This window comes from Homo sapiens, chromosome 2 (genome assembly GCF_000001405.40).
Source record: "Homo sapiens chromosome 2, GRCh38.p14 Primary Assembly".
NCBI lineage: Eukaryota > Metazoa > Chordata > Mammalia > Primates > Hominidae > Homo > Homo sapiens.
Genome location: NC_000002.12, coordinates 127246305 through 127268675, shown reverse-complemented (window position 1 = coordinate 127268675; position 22371 = coordinate 127246305). Strand labels below are relative to the sequence as shown.

Below are 22371 nucleotides of genomic sequence, written 5' to 3'. Positions count from 1 at the left end.
AAAGGGTCATATAACTCATCATGCTAACAGCAGACTTCTCAGCAGAAACTTTACAAGTCAGAAGAGATTGGGGGACTGTTTTTAGCATTCTTAAAGAAAAGAAAAGAAATCCTGGCTGGGCACGGCGGCTCACACCTGTAATCCCAGCACTTTGGGAGGCCAAGGTAGGCAGATTGCTTGAACTCAGGAGTTTGAGACCAGTCTGGGCAACATGATGAAACCCTGTTCCTACAAAAAATACAACAATTAGCTAGCTGGGTGTGGTGGTGTGCGCCTGTAGTCCCAGCCACTCCGGAGGCTGAGGCAAGAGAATCGCTTTAGTCTGGGAGGCAGAGGTTGCAGTGATCTGACATCTCACCACGGTATTCCACCTTGGGCAACAGAACAAGATCCTGTTTAAAACAAAAACAAACAAAAAAACAGGCCAGGCGCGGTGGCTCACACCTGTAATCCTAGCACTTTGGGAGGCTGAGGTGAGTGGATCACCTGAGGTCAGGAGTTCCAGACCAGCCTGGCCAACATGGTGAAACCCCATCTCCACTAAAAATACAAAAATTAGCCGGGCGTGGTGGCAGGTGCCTATAATCTCAGCTACTCAGGAGGCTGAGGCAGGAGTATTGCTGGAACCCAGGAGGCAGAGGTTTCAGTGAGCCGAGATTGCACCATTGCACTCCAGCCTGGGCAACAACAGCAAGACTCTGTCTCAAAACAAAAAAACAAAAACCAAAAAACCATAGTGAGACCCAGTCTCTTTAAGAAAAAAAATAAAAAAGAAAAATCCTAACCAAGAATTCCATATCCTGCCAAACTAAGCTACATGAGCAAAGAAGAAATAAAATCTTTCCCAGACAAGCAACTGCTAAAAGAATTTGTTATCACCAGACTGGCCCTACAAGAGAGTCTTGAGAGTTCTAAACATGGAAATGAAAGAATGGTGACACCTGCTACCACAAAAATACACATAAGCACATAGCCCACAGACCCTGTAAAGCAACTACACAATCCAAACTACAGAGCAACCAGCTAATGACACCATGTTAGGAATAAAGCCTCATGTCTCAATATTAACCTTGAATGTAAACAACCTAAACACCCCACCTAAAAGACTTGGAGTGGCAAATTGGATTAAAAACAAGACCCAGCCTTCTGCTGTCTTCAAGAGACCTCTCTCACATGTAACAGGACTCATAGGTTCAAAGTAAAGGGATAGGGAAAAAAATCTATCACACAAATAAAAAAAAAAAAAGAGTGGGGCAGGGGGTCACTATTCTTGCATCAGATAAAAGAGACTTTAAACCAGCCACAGTAAAAAAGGACAAAAAGGTCATTACACGATGATAAATGGTTCAATTCAACAAGAAGACTTAACTATCCTAAATATATATGCGCCCAACATTGGAGCACCTAGATTCATAAACCAAGTACTTTTAGAGCTAGGAAAAGGCTTAGACAGCCACACAACAATGGTAGGAGATTTTGACACCCCACTGACAGCATGAGACAGATTATAGAGGCAGAAAACTAACAAAGAAATTCTGTACTTAAAATTCAACACTTGACCAATTGGACCTAATAGGCATCTACATAATTCTCTACGCAACAACCACAGAATATATATTCTCATCTGCCCCCAGAATATACTCTTAAGATTGATCACATGGGCCTGGTGCCGTGGCTCACACCTGTAATCCCAGCACTTTGGGAGGCTGAGGCCGGCAGATTGCCTGAGCTCGGGAGTTTGCAACCAGCCTGGGCAACACGGTGAAACCCCGTCTCTACTAAAATACAAAAATTAGCTGAGTGTGGCGGCATGCGCCTGTAGTCCCAGCTACTCGGGAGCCTGAGGCAGGAGAACTGACTTGAAGCCGGGAGGCAGAGGTTGCAGTGAGCCAAGATCATGCCACTGCACTCCAGCCTGGGGAACAGAGCAGGACTCTGTCACAAAAAAAAAAAAAAAAAAAAAAAATAATTGATCATGTGTTTGGCCATAAAGCAATGTGAGACTTTATGCTCGACTTTATTAAAGTCTCAATAAATTCGGCAGGGTGTGGTGGCTTACGCCGATAATCCCAGCACTTTGGGAAGCCAAGGCGGGTGGATCACGAGGTCAGGAGATCGAGACCATCCTGGCTAACACAGTGAAACCCCGTCTCTACTAAAAATACAAAAAATTAGCCGGGTGTGTGGTGGCAGTTGCCTGTAGTCTCAGCTACTCGGGAGGCTGAGGCAGGAGAATGGCGTGAACCTGGGAGGCGGAGCTTGCAGTGAGCCGAGATCGCGCCACTGCACTCCAGCCTGGGCAACAGAGCGAGACTCTCTCAAAAAAAAAAAAAAAAAAAAAAGACTCAATAAATTCAAAAAAGTCGAAATCATACCAAGCATTTTCTTGGGTCACAGTGGAATAAAAGTAGAAATCAGTACCAGGAAGAACTCTCAAAACCACACAATTGGCCAGGCACAGTGGCTCATGCCTGTAACCGCAGCACTTTGGGAGGCCAAAGTGGGAGGATCATTTGAACTCAGGAGTTCAAGACCATTCTGGGCAACATAGCGAGACCTCATCGCTAAATAAAAGAAAAAAGAAAAAAAAAAACCCACACAATTACATAGAAACTAAACAACTTGCTCCTGAATGACTTTTGGATAAACAAATTAAGGCAGGAATCAAAAATTATTTGAAACAAATGAAAACAGATACAACATACTAAATCTCTGGGGTACAGCAAAGGTATTGTTAGGAAAGTTTATAGCACTGAACACCTACATCGAGAAGACAGATTTCAAATTAACAATTTGAGATTTCACCTGAAGGAACTAGAAAAATAAGAACAAGCTAATCCCAAAACTAGCTGAAGAAAAGAAATAACTAAAATCAGAGCAGAACTAAATGAAATTCAGACTCAAAAACAATACAAAGGATCAATGAAATAAAAAGCTGGTTCTTTGAAAAGATAGATAAGGCCAGTCGCAGTGGCTCATGCCTGTAATCCTGGAACTTTGGGAGGCCGAGGTGGGCGGATTACAAGGTCAAGAGTTCAAGACCAGCCTGACCAACATGGAGAAACCCCGTCTCTACTAAAAATACAAAAATTAGTCGAATGTGGTGGCGCATGCTTGTAATCCCAGCTACTCAGGAGGCTGAGGCAGGAGAATTGCGTGAACCCAGGAGGCAGAGGCTGCAGTGAGCCGAGATCGCACCTCTGCACTCCAGCCTGGGTGACAGAGCGAGACTCCGTCTCAAAAAAAAAGATAAATAAGATTGATGGACTGCTAGTTAGATTAACAGAAAAGAGAAGATCCAAATAAGCAGAATCAGAAATGACAAAGGTGACATCACAGCTGATCCCCAGAAATACAAAAGATTCTCAGAGACTTAAAAATACCTCTGTGCACACAAACTAGTAAATCTAGAGGAAATAGATAAATTCCTGGAAACATACAACTTCCCAAGATTGAATCAGAAATTAATTGAAACCCTGAACAGATCAATAAGGAGAAATTGAATCAGTAATTTAAAAAAAAAATATGGCCCCAGGCATGGTGGCTCACACCTCTAATCCCAGCACTTTGGAAGGCTGAGGCAGGTGGATCACCTGAGGTCAGGAGTTCCAGACCAGCCTGACCAACATGGTGAAACCTCGTCTCTACTAAAAATACAAAACTAGGTGGGCTTGGTGGCGTGTGCCTGTAATTCCATCCACGTGGAAGGCTGAGGCAGGAGAATTGCTTAAACCCTGGAGGTGGAGGTTGCAGTGAGCTGAGATCGTGCCACTGCACTCCAGCCTGGGTGACAGAGTGAGACTCCGCCTCCAAAAAAAAAAAAAAAAATCTACCAACTAAAAAAGTCCTGGACCAGATGTATTCAGTTCTACTGAAACTATTCAAAAAAATTGAGGAGGAGAGACTTCTTCCTAACTCATACTACGAAACCACTATCATCCTGATACCAAAATCTGGCAAAGACACGATGAAAAAACTACAGGCTAGTATTCCTGATGAACACAGACGCAAAAATCTGTAACAAAATGAGGACAAAGCAAATCCAGCAGCATATCAAAAAGTTAATTCACCACAATCAAATAGGCTTTACTTCTGGGATGCAAAGTTGGTTCAACATGTGGAAATCAATAAATATGATTCACCACATAATTAAAAATGAAAAGCATATAATTATCCTAATAGACACAGAAAAAGGTTTTTTGTTTTTTTGAGGCAGAGTCTTGCTCTTGTTGCCCAGGCTGGAGTGCAATGGTGCAATCTTGGCTCACTGCAACCTCTGCTTCCCAGATTCAAACTATTCTCCTGCCTCAGCCTCCCAAGTAGCTGGGACTACAGGCACGCACCACCATGCCCAGCTAATTTTTTTGTATTTTTAGTAGAGACAGGGTTTCGCCATGTTGGCAGTGCTGGTCTTGAAGGCCTGACCTCAGGTGATCCACCCACCTTGGCCTCCCAAAGTGCTGGGATTATAGGTGTGAGCCACTGCGCCCAGCCCAGAAAGAGCTTTTGATAAAATTCAACATTCCTTCATGATAAAAACCCTCAACAAATGGCATCGAAGGAACATATCTCACAATAATAAAAGCCATCTATGACAAACTCACAGCCAACATCATACTAAGTAAGCAAAAGCTGGAAGCATTCCCTTTAAGAACTGGAACAAGACAGCCGGGCACGGTGGCTCTTGCCTGTAATCCGAGCACTTTGGGAGGCCGAGGTGGGCGGATCACAACAAGGTCAGGAGATCTAGGTCATTCTGGCTAACATGGTGAAACCCCATCCCTACTAAAAGTACAAAAAATTAGCCGGGCGTGGTGGCAGGCACCTGTAGTCCCAGCTACTTGGGAGGCTGAAGCAGGAGAATGGCATGAACCTGGGAGGCGGAGCTTGCAGTGAGCCGAGATCACGCCACTGCACTCCAGCCTGGGCGACAGAGCGAGACTCCGTCCCCCAGAAAAAAAAAAAAAAAAGAACTGGAACAAGACAAAGAGCCCACCCTCACCACACCTATTCCACATAGTACTGAAAGTTCTACTCAGACCAGTCTAGCAAGATAAAGAAATAAAAGGCATCCAGATAGGAAAAAAGGAAGTTAAATTATCTGTCTTCCCTAATGATGTGATTCTATACCTAGAAAACCCTAAAGACTCCACCAAAAGGCTCCTAGACCTGATAGGCAACTTGAGTAAAGTTTCGGAATTCAAAATCAATGTACAAAAATCAGTAGCATTTCTATACACCAGTAACATTCAAGCTGAGAGCCAAATCAAGAACACAATCCAATTTATAATAGCTGTAAAAACAAAAGACAAAACCTAGGAATAACTACAGAACACTCCTGAAATAAATCATAGGTGACAGAAACAAATGGAAAAACATTCTGTGCTTGAGGATTGGAAGAAGCAATATCATTAAAATTGCCAAACTGCCCAAAACAATCTACAGATTCAACACTATTCTATCAAATTGCCAACATCATTTTTCACAGAATTAGAAAAAAAACTTATAAAATTCATCTGGAACCACAAAAGCACCTGAATAGCCAAAGCAATCCTAAGCAAAAGGAACAAAGCCAAAGGCCTCACAGTATCCAACTTCAAACTATGCTACAGGGCTTACAGTAACCAAAACAGCATGGTACTGGTACAGAACAGGCACATAGACCAATGGAGCAGAATAGAGAGCTCAGAAATAATGCCATGTACCTGCAGCCAACTGATGTTCAACAAAATTGGCAAAAATATGCAGTGGGGAAAGTACTCCCTATTCAATAAATGGTGCTGGGGAAACTGGCTAACTGTATGCAGAAGGATGAAACCAGACCCCTGCCTATCACCACATACAAAAATCAACTCATAATGGATTAAAGATGTAAATGTAAGACCTCAAACTATAAGGATCCTCGAAGAAAACCTAGGAAATACAATATTCACAAAGTTGTGCAACTATCAACACAATTCATGTTTAGAATATTCTCATCAGCTCCCAAAAGAAACCCTCATCCATGCACAGCCACTCCTAATTTCCTCTTGTTCCCAACCCCCAGCTCTAGGCAGCCCCTAATCTACTTTGATGTCTGTAGGCCTTTTCTGGACATTTCATGTAAATGCAGTCAGACCACTTGGGGCCTTCTGTGACTGGTTTCTTTTCACTTAGCATAATGTTTTGTTTGTTTGTTTTTTGGAGATGGAATCTCGCTCTATCGCCCAGGCTGGAGTACAGTGGGGCGATCTTGGCTCACTGCAACCACTGCCTCGCAGGTTCAAGGGATTCTCCTGCCTCAGCCTCCCGCGTAGCTGGAATTACAGGCATGAGCCACCACGCCTGGCTAATTTTTCTATTTTTAGTAGAGATGGAGTTTCACCATGTTGGCCAGGCTGGTCTCAAACTCCTGACCTTGAGTGATCCACGCCCACCTCAGCCTCCCAAAGGGCTGGGATTACAGGACTGGGTCACCACACCCGGCAGCATAATGTTTTCAAAAAGATTATCTATATTGTAGCATCTGTCAGTACTTCATTCTTTTTTATTGCTAAATAATATTCGATTCCATGGACATACCACATTTTATTTATCCACACATCTGTTGATGGACATTTGGGCTGTTTCCACTTTTTGGCTCTTAGAAGAATTCTGCTATGAAATTCATGTACAAATTTTTGTGTGGATATAGTTTCATTTCTCTTGGATTTATGCCTGGAAGTGGAATTGCCAGGTCATGTGGTTATAACAGTGTGTTTAACATTTTGATGAACTGCCAGACTGTTTTCCAAAGCAGCCGCATCATTTACATTCTCAACAGCAATGCATGCGGGTTCTAGTTTTTCCACATCCTTGACAACAGTGGCAGTTATCTGCTTTTTTGATTGTAGCCATCCTCGGAGAGGGGCGTGAGGTGATAATCTCATTGTGCTTTTGAGTTGCATTTCCCTGGTGATTAATGGTGTGGAGCATCATTTCATGTGCTTACTGGCTATTTTTATATTGTTTTTGGAGAAGTAATCTGTTCATATTCTTCTCTCATTTATAATTAATTTGTCTTGTTGTTGAGTTTCAACAGTTCTTTGTATAACCTAGATACAAATCCCTTATCAGATATATGCTTTCCACATTTTTTTATTCTGAGGATTGTTTTTTCACTTGATGGTGTCCTTGGAAGCACAAAAGACTTCCAAATTTTGATGCAATCCCATGCCAAGTTCAGGTGGTAACCCCGAGTGCAGGGCTTTTCCACTCCAGTGCTTGCTTTTGAGCCTGGGACCCTTAGCTCTTGGCATTCTAATGGCTAATGTTGTCTTCTTTATTGCCGTTTCTCATTTTTTCCTGCAGGGATGGTTGCAGAAGAGTACAATGCCTTTTTCTACTCACTGGTATCCCAGGACACACAGGAAATGGCTTACTCAACCAAGCGGCAGAGATTCTTGGTAGATCAAGGTTATAGCTTCAAGGTACATATCCATTTGGCTTCTGGTTAGACTAGGACCAAGGCCTTCTTGATACCCTGGCCTCCAGGAGAAGCGAGGGCCACTGTCAGCAGGCAGGCACCAAGCATTAGGAGATTAGAGGCCTTGCCTCAAACTCCCTTTATCTCTGCATGAATCTCTGAGGGCAGCTGTTGGTGGAAAGTGTGCCGTCCTGGCAGGACTGAGGTGCCATGGCACTATGACCAGCACTGTGTGAATCTGAGCCCCGCAGGGCTGCTTTCTCAGGGATGCCTCTCTAGGTAGCTAGGAGAGCTCTTCCTTTCATCAGCTGGTAAGCTCCAGGCCTTAGTTTGCCTCAGTTTGCCTCCCAGACATCAGAGCTATCCTGTACTACAAATCAGGTATTTTAATAATTGGGAAATTCTAAAGCTTTGGCTAACTTTCACTGGCTGAGGCATTTGCTTTCTTTCCTGTTACACAAATATTACGTTTATGTCAGTATTTGGTGTCCAGAGGGCTTTATATTTTGGGGATAGATGGAGGGTTCTAGAAGTAGGGGAATTAAATTCCCCCTATGGTCCACTAAAAGGACATCCCTAGAACATTAGACTCCCAGGTTCTTGATTGCAAAAGACTGCAATCCAGGCTGCCTTTTGAGATACGTTTTTAATGTGTCTCTTTATGCATTGGTGAGAGTTCCCATTATTGGCCTTAGGAGGACAGGGTTGTCTGACCTTCCCTCTTTTAGCTAGAGGCAGTGACACTTCAGACCTCTCATGCTGGCCTAGAGGACAAGATGCTTGGGTTTTGAGCCCAGTTTTTTGGAGGATTTGCATCATGACCTTTTTATCCATCCATGAAAATCCCTGTTGGTAATAGCATTCCTACCTCCTGATTCCTGCCGAGCTGTGAGGGTAAGAGGAGCACCAGGTCAGAAAGAGCAATTCTTTGAAAGGTGACCTCGACAAAAAGGCACAATGCCATGCCGTAGTAGTTTGTGTTGGTTGGAGCTGTGTCTTCGGTGCTGCCTGTTGAGGAGCAGTGGTTGGAGTTCCCAGAGTCATGACGTGGAGTGGCTGGGCCTGGGCAGATGTGCACATCGTCTGTACTCTGGATCCCTGGCCCAGAAGGACTCAGATCCTTACTTCTAGGAATTTTCATTTAATGAACATTATGAGAATTGGAGGGAAGGAGAATTCCCTTTACAGAATCAACCCAAGTTTTCTGCAGGGATAGGGAGCCCTTGTAGTAAGTTATCCCCATAGAAATGAAAACCCAGTCTCCACCATGCTGTTCTTACTCTCTCAGAGAAGCTCTATAAATAATCTTCCTGATATCCTATCATTTTCATTTTCACGTGCTCATTCCTGCTGGAAGCCCCAGTTGCGGAGCACAGCAGATGCCAGGGACCTTCACAAAGGGCCACAGCCTGTGCCTTCCAGTCACTTGTCCCTTCCTTTGTCTGCTCCAAGATGTGAAGGCTACCCGAAGGAGCCTTTTAAAATCACTAAGATTCTTCCTGTTGATCTTCCATACATGATCATTTAGATGCTGTGTGCTGGGGGCAGATTTCTCTGAAATTCCTGCATCCCTCTGGTCTTGAGATCATTAGTCAAGCTCCCTGTTAAAGGCGGCTCCTGATGCTGGTCTCTGGAATGCTAGGGAGGAGCTCTCCATTGTTGGCCACCAGGGTGGCTGGGCCTGGGGAGGGAAGTGACCAAAGCAGGTGGACCCAGGAGAAGGCAGAGGAGGGCTGGGGAGAGAGAGCAGAAAGGGGCATGTCTGCTGGCTTGGGCTTTGCAGGTGATCACGAAACTCGCTGGCATGGAGGAGGAAGACTTGGCGTTTTCGACAAAAGAAGAGCAACAGCAGCTCTTACAGAAAGTCCTGGCAGCCACTGACCTGGATGCCGAGGAGGAGGTGGTGGCTGGGGAATTTGGCTCCAGATCCAGCCAGGTGAGTAAATGGGTGAGGAGGTTCCAGGTGTCAGTGCTCTCACAGGGCAGCGTTTGTAGACACAGACACAGACATGTAGTCCTGCCTGGATGGGCCCATGGGATTTTTTTGGAAATGTTGGAAAACACGGAAGAGATGAACAGAAACAATCCTTGTTGCCCTTTTGGTGTGTGCCCCTTGTACTGTTGCACACAGCTGAGCTCACAGTGGCTGTGACTGGTCTCCTGCTTTGCTCACACGAGTATTTGTTAAATCTTGATGTTGAAGCCCAGGATGGCAAGCAGGTGACCCCAGCTCACCTTGGTGGTGACTGGAGGGAGCATGATGGGCTGGGGGTACGTAGTTCCCACACACAGGGCTGCCATCCCTGGCTGTGGCCACACAGTTCTCCTCTGGTTCCTCCTCAGTGATAAAGCTGAGCCCTCTAGCCCCTAAGACTGCTCTGAGGATCAACTCTTGTGGTAGCTTCGATACTTAACTTTGAAAAATGTAGAGTTCTGTGAAAATACTCAACCTTTCATTTATTCTACAAATATGCCTGCTCTAGGCCAAGTAAATATATGGTCTAATTAGTGAGAGCATCATTATGGAGAATTAGCAGGCCTGTCCAAGGGGAGAAGTGCACTTCAGTCAGGTGCGTTTGAAATTCAGTTGCCATTAGAGCCGGAAGGTGAGCAACTGCTGGACCAAGGCAAGAAGGAAACAGCTGTCCCTGGGAAGGGGCTGCCCTCCCTCCAGCCTAAGGCTTTCCTCCCCCGACCCAGGGGGCACTCTCCATGGGAACCCAGGAGAGTGCTCTCATTGCTCTCACTGGTTTTAAGGAGGTGCCTGGTTCATTCTCCTCACAGGATAGCAATGTCAGCACTGATGTGGTTATCCCCATTTTACAGATGAGGTCATTGAGGTGCAGACATTAATTACTTGCCTCAGGGTTACTCAGGGACAGGAGGAGCCAAGAGTCAAGCCCAGGGCTTTCTGTCCTTCCACTTGATTCAAAGCCTTATGGTGGTGTCTCAGGAGATTTTAAGGAACTTTTGCCCTAACTGTTAAAAAATTCTGTTCAGGCCAGGCATGGTGGCTCATGTCTGTAATCCCAGCACTTTGGGAGGCCTAGGCGGGAGGATCAGTTGAGTCCAGGAGTTTGAGACCAGCATGGTCAACATATCGAGACCCTGTTTCTCTCTTAAAAAAAAAAAGTTTGTTCAGAAGTTGTTATTAAGTGAGGTAGTGTGGCATTATGGTTAAGAACAGTCTGAAGCCAGGCTACCTGGGTGTTCAAATCCCATCTCCTTAAGAGCTATGTGATCTTGGATAGGTTAGTTAATCTCTCTGTGTCTCAGTTTCCTCTTCTTTCAGGTGTGGATTATAGTAGTTTTGAGGATTAGAGGAGATAATGCATGTAAAATGCTTAGAACAATGCCTGAGACAGTAAGCGATCTGTAAACATTATTAAAAATGATGTATTAAATTTATGTAAGTCTTATAAAATTTGCTGTGATTATAAGTATTATAAAAGGAGTATCTTTTCTTCTGGAGACTAACATGGGCTGGTTCCCCCTTCCCGGCAGGCATCTCGGCGCTTTGGCACCATGAGTTCTATGTCTGGGGCCGACGACACTGTGTACATGGAGTACCACTCATCGCGGAGCAAGGCGCCCAGCAAACATGTACACCCGCTCTTCAAGCGCTTTAGGAAATGATGCTTAGGCAGGGTACTTCGTTCAAGACCGGCGCTTGGCACCCTTGTTGGAAAGGGATTTTCAGCATAACATTTTCCTTCCACCTCTTTGACCTTCCCTCCAGCGTTGGCCAAATTGTGCTGAGGAAGATGCATCAAGGGCTTGGCTGTGCCTTCATAGGTCATCTAGGGTTTTATAAAGGAGGAGGAGACAATATTTTTTCAAACTTTTTGGGGAGTGGGGTCATTTCTGTATATAAAAAATGTTAATATTTAAGGTGTATTTATGTTACCGTTCTGAATAAACAGAATGGACCATTGAACCAGTCTTCATTGTACAAGTGTTTTTATGCTTCGTCCTGGGCATGGGTTATGTCTGGATGACCAACCTCCATCAAGGCCCTACTTTGTAGCAAGCACAGATGAGTAAGATGGAGCCCATCCCCAGGGAGCTACCAGAGAGATGTACCCTGAGATAGAAGAAACGTTGGCAGGAAAGGCCTGGGGAACGGGGAGGGTGATCCAGCCAGAGGGAAGAGCCTGGGTAGTTGACTGTGGTCCCTGCTCACAGCTTAGCCTGGTGGATTCAGACTGGGGCTTCAACCGCACAGCTTCCTGCTGTTCTGGTGGTCACAGCTGTTCCTACAGCCTCGTCCGAGGTAGACACCCACGTCATGAAGGCCTTCCAGGTTGGCTCCTGGTGCCTCATCTTCTCTGAGAGAGTGACCTCTTGTTTCTCCCTCAAAGTACGTTTTTAGAAATTGCTGAGAGGCTAGATTCCTCTTCTAATAGCAGTTTAGTGCCCTTGGGTGTTTTAATTGCTACTTCCTTTATTTTTAATGGCTTTGGGCTTTTCTTTTATGTTCCTGGTATGAAAGCAAAGGTGTTGAGGAATAGACAGGCCAGGTAGGATTGCTTCTTGAAAGGTAGGCACACATAAGGCATATTCGCCTTGCAGAAAGACTTGTGATTCTGAGGAGGAAGCCCACTCTGCCTGTAACAGGAAACAGCGCTCACACTTGGGGAGTGTTGAAACCCTGGCTACATAAGGCTTCCAAGTGGAGTCCCTCCCCATCCCCACAGCTCGGCAGCAGCTTCCTGTCCTCAGCTCTAGCACAGGTGGGCTACTCTCTGTGATGCAGCCACAGACTGAGGAGAAGAAAGTATTAGGTTGGTGCAAAAGTAACTGCAGCTTTTGCCATTACTTTTTTTTTTTTTTTGAGACAGTTTCACTCTTTGTCCAGGCTGGAGTGCAGTGGTGCGAACTTGGCTCACTGCAACCTCCACCTCCCGGGTTCAAGCGATTCTCCTGCTTCAGCTTCCCAAGCAGCTGGGACCGCAGGCGCCCGCCACCACGCCCAGCTAACTTTTTGTATTTTTAGTAGAGATGGGGTTTCACCATATTGGCCAGGCTGGTCTCAAACTCCTGACCTTGTGATCCGCCCGCCTCGGCCTCCCAAAATGCTGGGATTACAGGCTTGAGCCACCACACCTGGCCACCATTACTTTTACTGGCAAAAACCACAATTACCTTTGCACCAACCTAATACCTCTCTTATCAGGGGGCTTTGAAGCAAGAGCCACCTGCCCCACATACCGCCTCTCTGAGCTGACCTTTTGGTGACAAACACACTCTCATAGTCTGGTCAGTAGCTGGTGCTGCCAGGCATCTAGCCACTATCAGTGCAAGCCCCAGGAACCAGCAACAGGGCCCTCGCTAGGAGTAGGGGGCCCGAGCAGCCCTGTCTGAGGTGCGGGCTTGAGCCCACAGACTCGCCTGTCATGTAACCCTGATGGGTCGGCACTCAAATGTTCAAACTTGACTGTAACTCTTTTCAGTCTACCTCCTGTCTTGCCTTTACACTTGAGATCCTCAAACAATACTGAGCATTTCCTGTATTTTCACATTTCTGGCCCCTGTTTTCTTGTCTACTGACAATGTTGAATTTTACCTGAGCACTGTGATCCTAGGAAATAGATACATTTAAAGGAATCCCTTGTCCTTGGTGTTCTGGAAAATGGCTTACTGCAGAGAACCATCCTTCCTGGTATGACTCATGAATGCTCCCCTTGAAGACCCCAGTCGAGGCCAGACACAGGCCTTCCAAATTCCCATTCTTTGCCTCATAAATTAGCTAAACTGCTTGTCCCCAGTGATCAATGGGAACAAAATGCTTGTGAACCAGACTTTGCTTTACAAACTTTGGCTCACCCTCCCCTCCACCCCTCGAGAGAATAGACTGGACTCAGGGTAAGTCACTGATTGGATCTACTGTCCCACCATGCTACTCCCCTTCATCCCACTTCCTGTCTTTTACTTGCTTCCCCTCCCTATAAAAGAAAACCCCTTTTGTCTAACCCTGAGACAAACAGATCTTATGTTCAGTGCATTCTCCCTGCTGCAATAGTACACCCCTCCCCACCACTTTGCAACAATCCTTTCAAATAAAGTCTCCCTTTACTAAGTCCAGATTTTTTCTTCTTATTTTTCTTAACATTGTCTATTCTGTGAACTTGAGTTCCAGATTTTTTATTTGACATCATGTAACAAGTTTTTATCTAAATTTCCAAATGTCTGTTGGTAGTATATAAAAATATAATTCATTTTTATATATCAGTTTTTATATATCATTCCTCAGTCATGCTAAACTCAGTTCTAGGAAATTTTTCTGTAGATTTCTAGAATAAGTAGACTAAAATCAATGAAGATATAGAAGACTTGAACAATGCTATTAACCAACTTGACCTAATTGACGTTTACAGAATTCTCTACTGAGTAACAGCAGTATAAGCATTATTTTCAAATACACAGATCACTTGCCAAGACGGAATCAATTTCAGGCCCTACAAGTCCATTGGAAAGTACATTGGTAAGTATTTAAGCCATACAAGCTGTAATCTGTGCCCACAGTGTGATTAAGTTAAAAATCAATAGAAAAAGAGTCTGGAAAACCCTCAAATATTTGGAAAACGTGGTGGTTAATTTTAGGTGTCAGCTGAGTTAAGGGATGACAGGTCACTGGTTAAGCATTTTTGGGTGTGTCTGTGGGCATGTTTCCAGGAACGAGGAGCATTTGAAGCTGTAGACTCAGATCCACCCCCACCAACGTGGGTGGGCCTCATATACCCATCAAGGGACCAGACAGAACAAAAGGATGGAGGAAGGGTGAATACAAATTGCAGAATACAATATTGATACATTAAAAAAAAAATCAATTGGCCGGGCGCAGTGGCTCACACCTGTAATCCCAGCACTTTGGGAGGCCGAGGCAGGTGGATCACCTAAGGTCAGGAGTTTGAGACTAGCCCGGCCAACATGGTGAAACCTCATCTCTACTAAAAATACAAAAAAAATTAGCCAGGTGTGATGGTAGGCGCCTGTAATCCCAGCTACTCAGGAGGCTAATGTGGAAGAATCTCTTGAACCCAGGAGGCGGAGGTTGCAGTGAGTTGAGATCACACCACTACACTCCAGCCTGGGCTACAAGAGCAAAATTCTGTCTCAAAAAAAAAAAAAAAAATCAATGATCTTTTTATATACTTAGAGACAAACATTTGGAAGTTGAAACAAGAATACTATTTACAATAGCATAAAAATATGCAATGCTTAGGGATTATCTTATGAAATATGTAAATTCTGCCTGTATTAGCCTATTAATTTAATCTTTTTTTTTTTTTTTTAAACAGGATCTCACTCTGTCACCCAGGTGAGTTCAGTGGCACAATCAAAGCTCACTTCAGCCTTGGCCTCCTGGGCCCAAGCGATCCTCCTGCCTCAGCACCCCAGTCCGACCCAGTAGCTGGGACTACAGGCACCTGCCATCATGCCCGGCTAATATTTTTTTTTTAAATTTTTTGTAGAGACAGGGTCTCACTATGTTGCGCAGCCTGGTCTTGAACTCCTGGGCTCAAGTGATCCTCCTGCCTTGGTTTCCCAAAGTGCTGGGATTACAAACGTGAGCCACGGCACCTGGCCGGTTTAACCTATTTTAAATCAAATTCTTAACCAGATTTTTCATGGAAACGTACAAACTAATGGTAAAATAAATGTCAAAGAATAAAGAAACAAAAATATCAAAGAGAATTTATAAGAACAGTGCAGTAGGCACAGGAACAGAAAAATATACCAGTGGAATGGAATACAGAGCCTAGAAAAATATTACTGAGAACTTGATCTGTGATAGAAGTAGCATTATATAAGTGTGTATACACACACCTACATATCCTCCTACATCTATATCCATTCCAACAGTATCTTTCTATCTATCTATCCCCATGAGTTCACACTGAAATCTCTACACAGGGTTTATTTGTTTATTTATTTTCAGATGGAGTTTCGCTCTTGTTGCCCAGGCTGGAGTGCAATGGCACAATCTCGGCTCACTGTAACTTCCGCCTCCCAGGTTCAAGTGATTCTCCTGCCTCAGCCTCCTGAGTAGCTGGGATTACAGGTACCCACCACCATGACCAGCTAATTTTTTGTATTTTTAGTAGAGATGGGGTTTCACCATGTTGGCCAGGCTGGTCTCGAACTCCCGACTTTAAGTGATCCGCCCGCCTTGTCCTCCTAAAGTGCTGGGATTACAGGCGTGAGCCACTGCATGCAGCCCACAAGGTTTATTTTATCATCTATTTTATGTTCACAACTTCATTCTTTGACAATGAGAAAACTGGCTCCCATTTTACACAATATATTAATATTTTCTTATTTGCTCCCTTATAGGATGTACGAAAGTCATTTCAGACCTGTTAGTTTATGCCTCTGTGAAAATTAGATTTTAATTTTAATTCGAGTTCTAATTAGATGACTCTAATTTTCATTTAACTCTAATTTTAATTAGAGTTAACTTTGTGTTAGGGATGTTTGGGTTTGGAACCTGACGGCATAGAGACTTAATCTTGTGTTGCTTGTGTTTTTTCCCCAACCATCCTTCAATGTGGTTATGTTGTTCATTTGATGAGCAGTTTCATTCATTTGGGGCTTTTTGTATCAAACTTTAGTTTGTATAAGATTGTCCTTATCGTTGTTGATTTCTTATTTATTTATTTATTTGAGACGGAGTCTCTATCTCTCGCCAGGCTGGAATGCAGCGGCGTGATCTTGGCTCACTGCAACCTCTGACTCCCAGGTTCAAGCGATTCTCCTGCCTCAGCCTCCCGAGTAGCTGGGATTACAGGCACGCGCCACCATTCAAAAATGCCCTAGCATTCTGTGATGCAATATTGTGTGACTGAAAGAAACAGTATAGAAATTGGAAGACTGGATCTTAGTTTGTGGCGGGCTGTACCTTACTATATGACCTTGGGGAATTCACCCAAACTGCTTTTGCCTCCATTTCCTGTTTGATTTCTCCATATATTAGGTCAGAGCACAAGGAAGATCTGAAGAACATATTTAAATTCCAAAATGAAATCCGAACATCTCTCTGAGAAAACCTTTTTTTTTTTTTTTTTTTTTGGAGACGGAGTCTCGCTCTGCCACCCAGGCTGGAGTGCAGTGGCACAAGCTCAGCTCACTGCAACCTCTGCCTCCTGGGTTCAAGTGATTCTCCTGCCTCAGCCTCCCGAGTATCTGGGACTACAGGTGTGTGCCACCACACCCAGCTAATTTTTGTATTTTTAGTAGAGATGGGGTTTCACCATGTTGGCCAGGCTTGCCTCTAACTCCTGACCTCAAGTGATCCTCCCGCCTCGGCCTCCCAAAGTGCTGGGATTACAGGTGCGAGCCACCATACCTGGCCGATTTTATTTATTTTTCTCTTTTAAGCATGTAAAACACTAACATGATTCCAAAGTCTAGACTGCACAAAAAGTTATATTTAGGAAAGTGCCTTTCTCTTATCCCTGTTTCCTTTGTGTTTTTCATCCCTTTCTTGACATTCCTTGTAGGTATCTAATTTCAGTTTCTGGTTTATCTTGCCTGTGTTTCTTTTTTGCTGAAATGAACAGACACATATGTATTTTCTTATTTTTCCTTCTTATTTTTTCTTCTTTCTTACACAGTAGATATTATACTGTAGATAATCCTTTGCACTTTGTCTTTCTTTAATAAATTCTGGAAATTTTATCAATTCATTGAGGTCTTCCTCATTCTTTACAACCTCATGGTAGCCCATTCTGCAAATGTACCATAGTTCATTTAAGCACTGTTAGATGTGTGGCATTTAAGTTGTTTAAATTATTTTCCAATTGCAAACAATGCTTCAATAATAAACCTGTGCAAATGGGTTTTCTTATAGTTGGAAGTATATCTTTAGGGTGAATTCCTGGAAGTGGGATTGCTGATTCAAAGGTAAATGCAGGGACAAGCACAGTAGCTCATGCCTATAATCCCAGCATTTTTGGGAGGCTGAGGCAGGAGGATCACTTGAGGTCAGGAGTTCGAAACGAGTCTGGCCAACATGGTGAAACCCCGTCTCTACTAATAATACAAAACTTAGCCAGGCACATGCCTGTAGTCCCAGCTACTTGGGAGGCTGAGGCAGGAGAATCCCTTGAGCCCAGGAGGCAGAGGTTGCAGCGAGCCAAGATCTTGCCCCTGCACTCCATCCTGGACAACAGAGTGAGACTCCATCTTAAAACAAAACAAAACAAACAAACAAAAACAGCAGGCCAGATGCGGTGGCTCATGCTTGTAATCCCAGCACTTGGGAGGCCCAGGCGGGTGGATTATCTGAGGTCAGGAGTTTGAGACCAGCCTGGCTGACGTGGTGAAACCCTGTCTCTACTAAAAATACAAAAAATTAGCCAGGCGTGGTGGTGGGCGCCTGTAATCCCAGCTACTTGGGAGGCTGAGGCAGGCAAATCACTTGAACCTGGGAGGCAGAGGTTGCAGTGAGCCAAGATCATGCCACTGCACTCCAGCCTGGGCAACAAGAACAAAACTCCGTCTCAAAACCAAAAACAAAACAAAACAAAAATGGTAAATGCGTATGTAGTTTTTTTTTCTTGGTGTAGAACATTTATTTATTTTTCCCATGAATCAAAGTTTAGTTCAGTGGGAAATAATTTTAATCAAAGAATTGTACATTTTCTTCCCACATATCCTGCTTTGTATTAGGAAACTATATTGTGATCCATTTCACTATAAGTAAAATATTGCAAAATATTTACAGGAAAGTATTAAAAATAACTGAAACACAAAAGGCAAGATGAGATAAACTGGTTTTTCAGAAATCTCTACTCCAGTGCCCATAGCACACAAGAAGAGAGTCAAAACAAATAAGTAACTAAGATTCCCTGATCACAAATTTCCAAAGAACTGGAGAAGGGAAAGAAACAGGGTGAAAATGGTGGTGTGAAAGGGAATGGACGTTGGCAGCACTGCTTCAATAACTGATCTATTCTGAATGAAATACCCTCTTTTCTGTGCAGTAAATTCTGAACAAGGCTATATTTTAGGATATTCCTTGAACTGAAATTAGAAAACACCCTGACAACGGAAGCGGTTCTTTCTTCTAAGTTTAATAAGAGCCTCTTTCTCCATGGGCCACTGTTGTGAACAAAATCCTGTTCGGGCATCAAAAGCTGTCACAGCAGCCCTTCCATCTCTTTCATGAAAGCCTCATAGACATCATCCTTACTTTGTACTGAGACAGGAACAGAAGGACCAGATTTGGGTGCTGCTTTGGCAAGAGGCACAGCAGAATCATCCTCTGACTTTCTTTTCTTTTTTTTGAGACAAAGTCTCGCTCTGTCACCCAGGCTGGAGTGCAGTGGTGCGATCTCAGCTCACTGCAACCTCCACCTTCTGGGTTCAAGCCATTCTCCTCCCTCAGCCTACTGAGTAGCTGGGACTATAGGTGTACATGCCTGGCTAATTTTTGTATTTTTAGTAGAGATGGGGGGTTTCGCCATGTTGGCTAGGCTGGTCTCAAAGTCCTGACCTCAGGTGATCTCCCCACCTTGGCCTCCTAAAGTGCTGGGATTACAGGTGTGAGCCACAGTGCCCAGCCCCTCTGACTTTCTTTGGAGAGCAGCAGTAGCCCCTTTATTCTCCTGATGTACTGTGAGTGCAGTGGGCAAAAATCAAGTAATCTCTGCCTTGGGATTAGTGATCTGTGGCTTGGCACTGATGGTTGCTGTGGCTTTCTTCTCAATGGTGGCTGCAATCATATCATCTGCCTTGGGCCACTGAATCAAGTTGGGCGGTGCATTGAAAACCCCAGGGTTCGGCCAGGGAGCTGGTAGGAAAAGCCCAGCGGGGGCAGGTCCAAGTGGAGGTACCAATGGTGGGCGCATCATGCCAGGATGAGGTGGAGGAACACCCAGAGGTGCAGGGGGAGGTACTTTTGGTGGGGGTCCCCTAGGAGGGGGACCAGGAGGCAGACCTGGAGGTGGACCTGGGGGAGGGCCAGGTCAGGCTGGTGTTGGTCCTGGAGGTAAAAAGTCGGGGTAAAGGCCCTCAGAATCCTGGCATTCCAGGTGATCTCAGGAATGGAGGAGCTCCTGGAGGTGGGCCAAGAGGAAGGCCCATAGCTGGCCCAAGAGGCCATAATGGTGGAGCAGGTGGTGGTCCAAGAGATGGTGGTCCTGGGATGGGACGTGCTTGTATCTGAGAAAGAGGAACACGTGTGTGGCATTTAAGATGTATAAATTATTCTGCAATTGCAAACAATGCTTCAATAATAAACCTTGTGCAAATGGATTTTCTTACTGTTGGAAGTGTATCTTCAGGGTGAATTCCTAGAAGAGGGATTGCTGATTCAAAGGTAAATGCAGGAACAGGCGCAGTGGCTCATGCCTATAATCCCAGCACTTTGGGAGGCCGAGGCAGGAGGATCACTTGAGGTCAAGAGTTCGAAACCAGCCTGGCCAACATGGTGAAACCCTGTCTCTACTAAAAATACAAAAATTAGCTGGGTGGCAGACGCCTGTCTGTGAAGAAGCAGTGGATGTGTCATCAGAATGAGACTCTTCTTTATGCTGTTTTTGTGATTGTTTTTCTGCTTCAGAGTCATCAGAATCATCTTCATCATCGTCCTCTGAAAATTCCTCTACTTCTGTTCCCTCCTCAGGGACTTCTTGACCTGCCATGGAAGCATCATGGCTTGAAGAGGACTTAACTCCTTCATGTTCTTTTTCTTCCTTGATTTTCCAGGCATCTCTGCAAACCGTACACTCAGACCTGAGTTGTTTTCTTCATTGCTGTCTCTCTCACCATCATCACGGTACACAATTCATCCTCCCACTTTCTCCATCTGATCTGTTGGTGTCACCATCATCAGTATTGTTACCATGCTTATGTTGGTCCTTGTCCTCAGAAGGGCCATCATCTTCACTGGCGCTAGAAACATCATCACCGTGACCTTGCCGGGCAAGTTCAGGATTATATAACATGTCTTCTTCATCTCGCCCACGAAGGGGAAGATCTAGGGCAAAACCCACTTTACGGCCATACATGTGCAAGACTTGAGGAGGAGGTGGGCCGGGGAAGAGCCAGGAGATTTTCTGCCAGGGGGCAAACGTGGAACATTATGCCCAAGAAGAGGAAGGATAGAAACTGCCCGAGTTGGAGGTCCATAGGCTGAGGTTTTCCTAAGGATGGAGAGTGGCTGGGACCAGGAAGTGGAATGTCCTGGATCAAAATGTTGGAAGGAGCACGCGGCACATCTGGCAAAAGAATGCTCTCCACTTCCGCTTGCTGAGCATTCTCGACAGCATCAAAATATTGCCTAAGTTGAGCCCTCTTCTGTTCATACTCTACTTCTAGTTTTTCAAGTCCTTGTAAATATCTGGATTTTCTTTTTCATAGTCATAGAATATGTTCAAAGGTTTCACGCAGTTTTTTACGCCTGTTTTTCAGTACTTTCTCATTTAATTGTGGCTGTTGCAGTGGGTTAAACTCCATTTCATCCAGTTTCTCCATGTCCCGGGTAATCTGTTTGGGATCCTTCATTTTTAAAAACGCAGCTCTGGCCGGGCGCAGTGGCTCACGCCTGTAATCCCAGCACTTTGGGAGGCCGAGGCAGGTAGATCACCTGAGGTCAGGAGTTCGAGACCAGTCTGGCCAACATGGTGAAACCTCATCTCTACTAAAAATACAAAAATTAGCCAGGTGTGGTGGCACGCGCCTGTAATCCCAGCTACTTGGGAGGCTGAGGCAGGAGAATTGCTGGAGATGGGGGTTGCAGTGAGCCGAGATCGCGCCACTGCGCTCCAGCCTGGGCGACAAGAGCGAAACTCCACCTCAAAAATACCAAAACCAAACCAAAACAACAACAACAACAAACACTGCAGCTCGAACCGTCATGCGCTGTTTTTTGTTCTTTAATTCTCTCTTCTGGGATTCCTTTCGGACTTGGTCTGTGGGGTTCATAAATTTTCCACTGTTGGTGGATGATGTAGATCTCCGTCCCATGTTGAAAATTTGTGTGGTTTACTTGTTCATTTAAAAAAAAAAAGAAAGAAAAAAGAAAAGGGGGAAAGAAAAACACTTCTGCTGTGCTCCCCAGGACTGTGAGAAGTGGGGAGGCGGCGATTCCCGGCCTCTTTCACTTTGTAAGGGCCTCTGGGTCAACCCCTCAGCCACCGCCATCGTGAAACCTTGCGCCCCTCCCGCATATGTAGTTTTGTGAAATGCTGCCACATTACCCTTTACAGGGTTGTACTTATTCACATGTCCCCTAGCCATGCATGAGAGGCTTGTCTATCCACTGCGTTACCATCAGAGCGTATTGTTATATTTTTTAAATGTTGAAGATATAGGCTTGGTGCAGTGGCTCACACCTACAGTCCTAGCACTGTACAGCTAAGGCGAGTGGGTCACTTGAGCCCAGGAATTCCAGACCAGCCTGGGCAACATAGTTAAACCTCATCTCTACAAAAACACAAAAAGTTAGCAGGGCGTTGTGGCACGAACCATGACCGCACTGCTGCACTCTGGCCTGGGTGACAAAGTGAGCCTCTGTCTTAAAAAACAAAATAAAAGAAAATATTATAGGTGAGAAATGGTATTTTAGTGTAGTTTTAATTGACATTTCTCTTATGAATTAGGTTGAAAAATCTTTCATATATGTGTGTGTATGTGTGTGTGTGTATGTGTGTATGTATGTGTGTGTGTGTGTTTCTGTGTATAAATTCCCCATTCTTATCTTTTGCCATTTTTTTCTATCGGGTTAAAAAAAATCTAAGCTGAGTGCAGTGGCAGATGCCTATAGTCTCAGCTACTTGGGAGATGGGAGGATTGCTTGGGCCAGGAATTTGAGGCTGCAATGCTCAAAGATGGTGAGATGGCACCTATGCATAGCCATTGCACTCCAGCCTGGGCAACATAGCGAGACCCTCATCTCTAAAAATGAAAAACAAAATATA

At 44.6% G+C, this 22371-nt stretch overlaps 1 protein-coding gene and 1 pseudogene across 5 annotated transcripts in view, besides 1 other annotated feature; one reads left to right on the top strand and one right to left on the bottom strand.

The window, feature by feature from the left end:
* The window catches only part of ERCC3 (ERCC excision repair 3, TFIIH core complex helicase subunit), a 36855-nt gene extending 25469 nt beyond the window's left edge, over positions 1 to 11386 (top strand). For all 5 annotated transcript variants that reach the window (NM_000122.2, XM_011510794.3, NM_001303416.2 and 2 more), the window contains 3 exons: positions 7330 to 7448; positions 9228 to 9380; positions 10949 to 11386. In NM_000122.2, coding sequence (NP_000113.1) covers positions 7330 to 7448; positions 9228 to 9380; positions 10949 to 11080 — 404 coding nt within the window. In that variant the 3' untranslated portion in view covers positions 11081 to 11386. The remainder of the gene's footprint in view (positions 1 to 7329; positions 7449 to 9227; positions 9381 to 10948) is intronic.
* Positions 13277 to 13477: a silencer, noted in NCBI's record as "peak3852 fragment used in MPRA reporter construct". NCBI's record gives its function as "represses an SCP1 promoter by STARR-seq MPRAs in K562 erythroleukemia cells {active_cell/tissue: K562}" and the evidence as "EXISTENCE:reporter gene assay evidence [ECO:0000049][PMID:32103011]".
* Positions 18392 to 20973, bottom strand: WBP11P2 (WBP11 pseudogene 2; annotated as a pseudogene).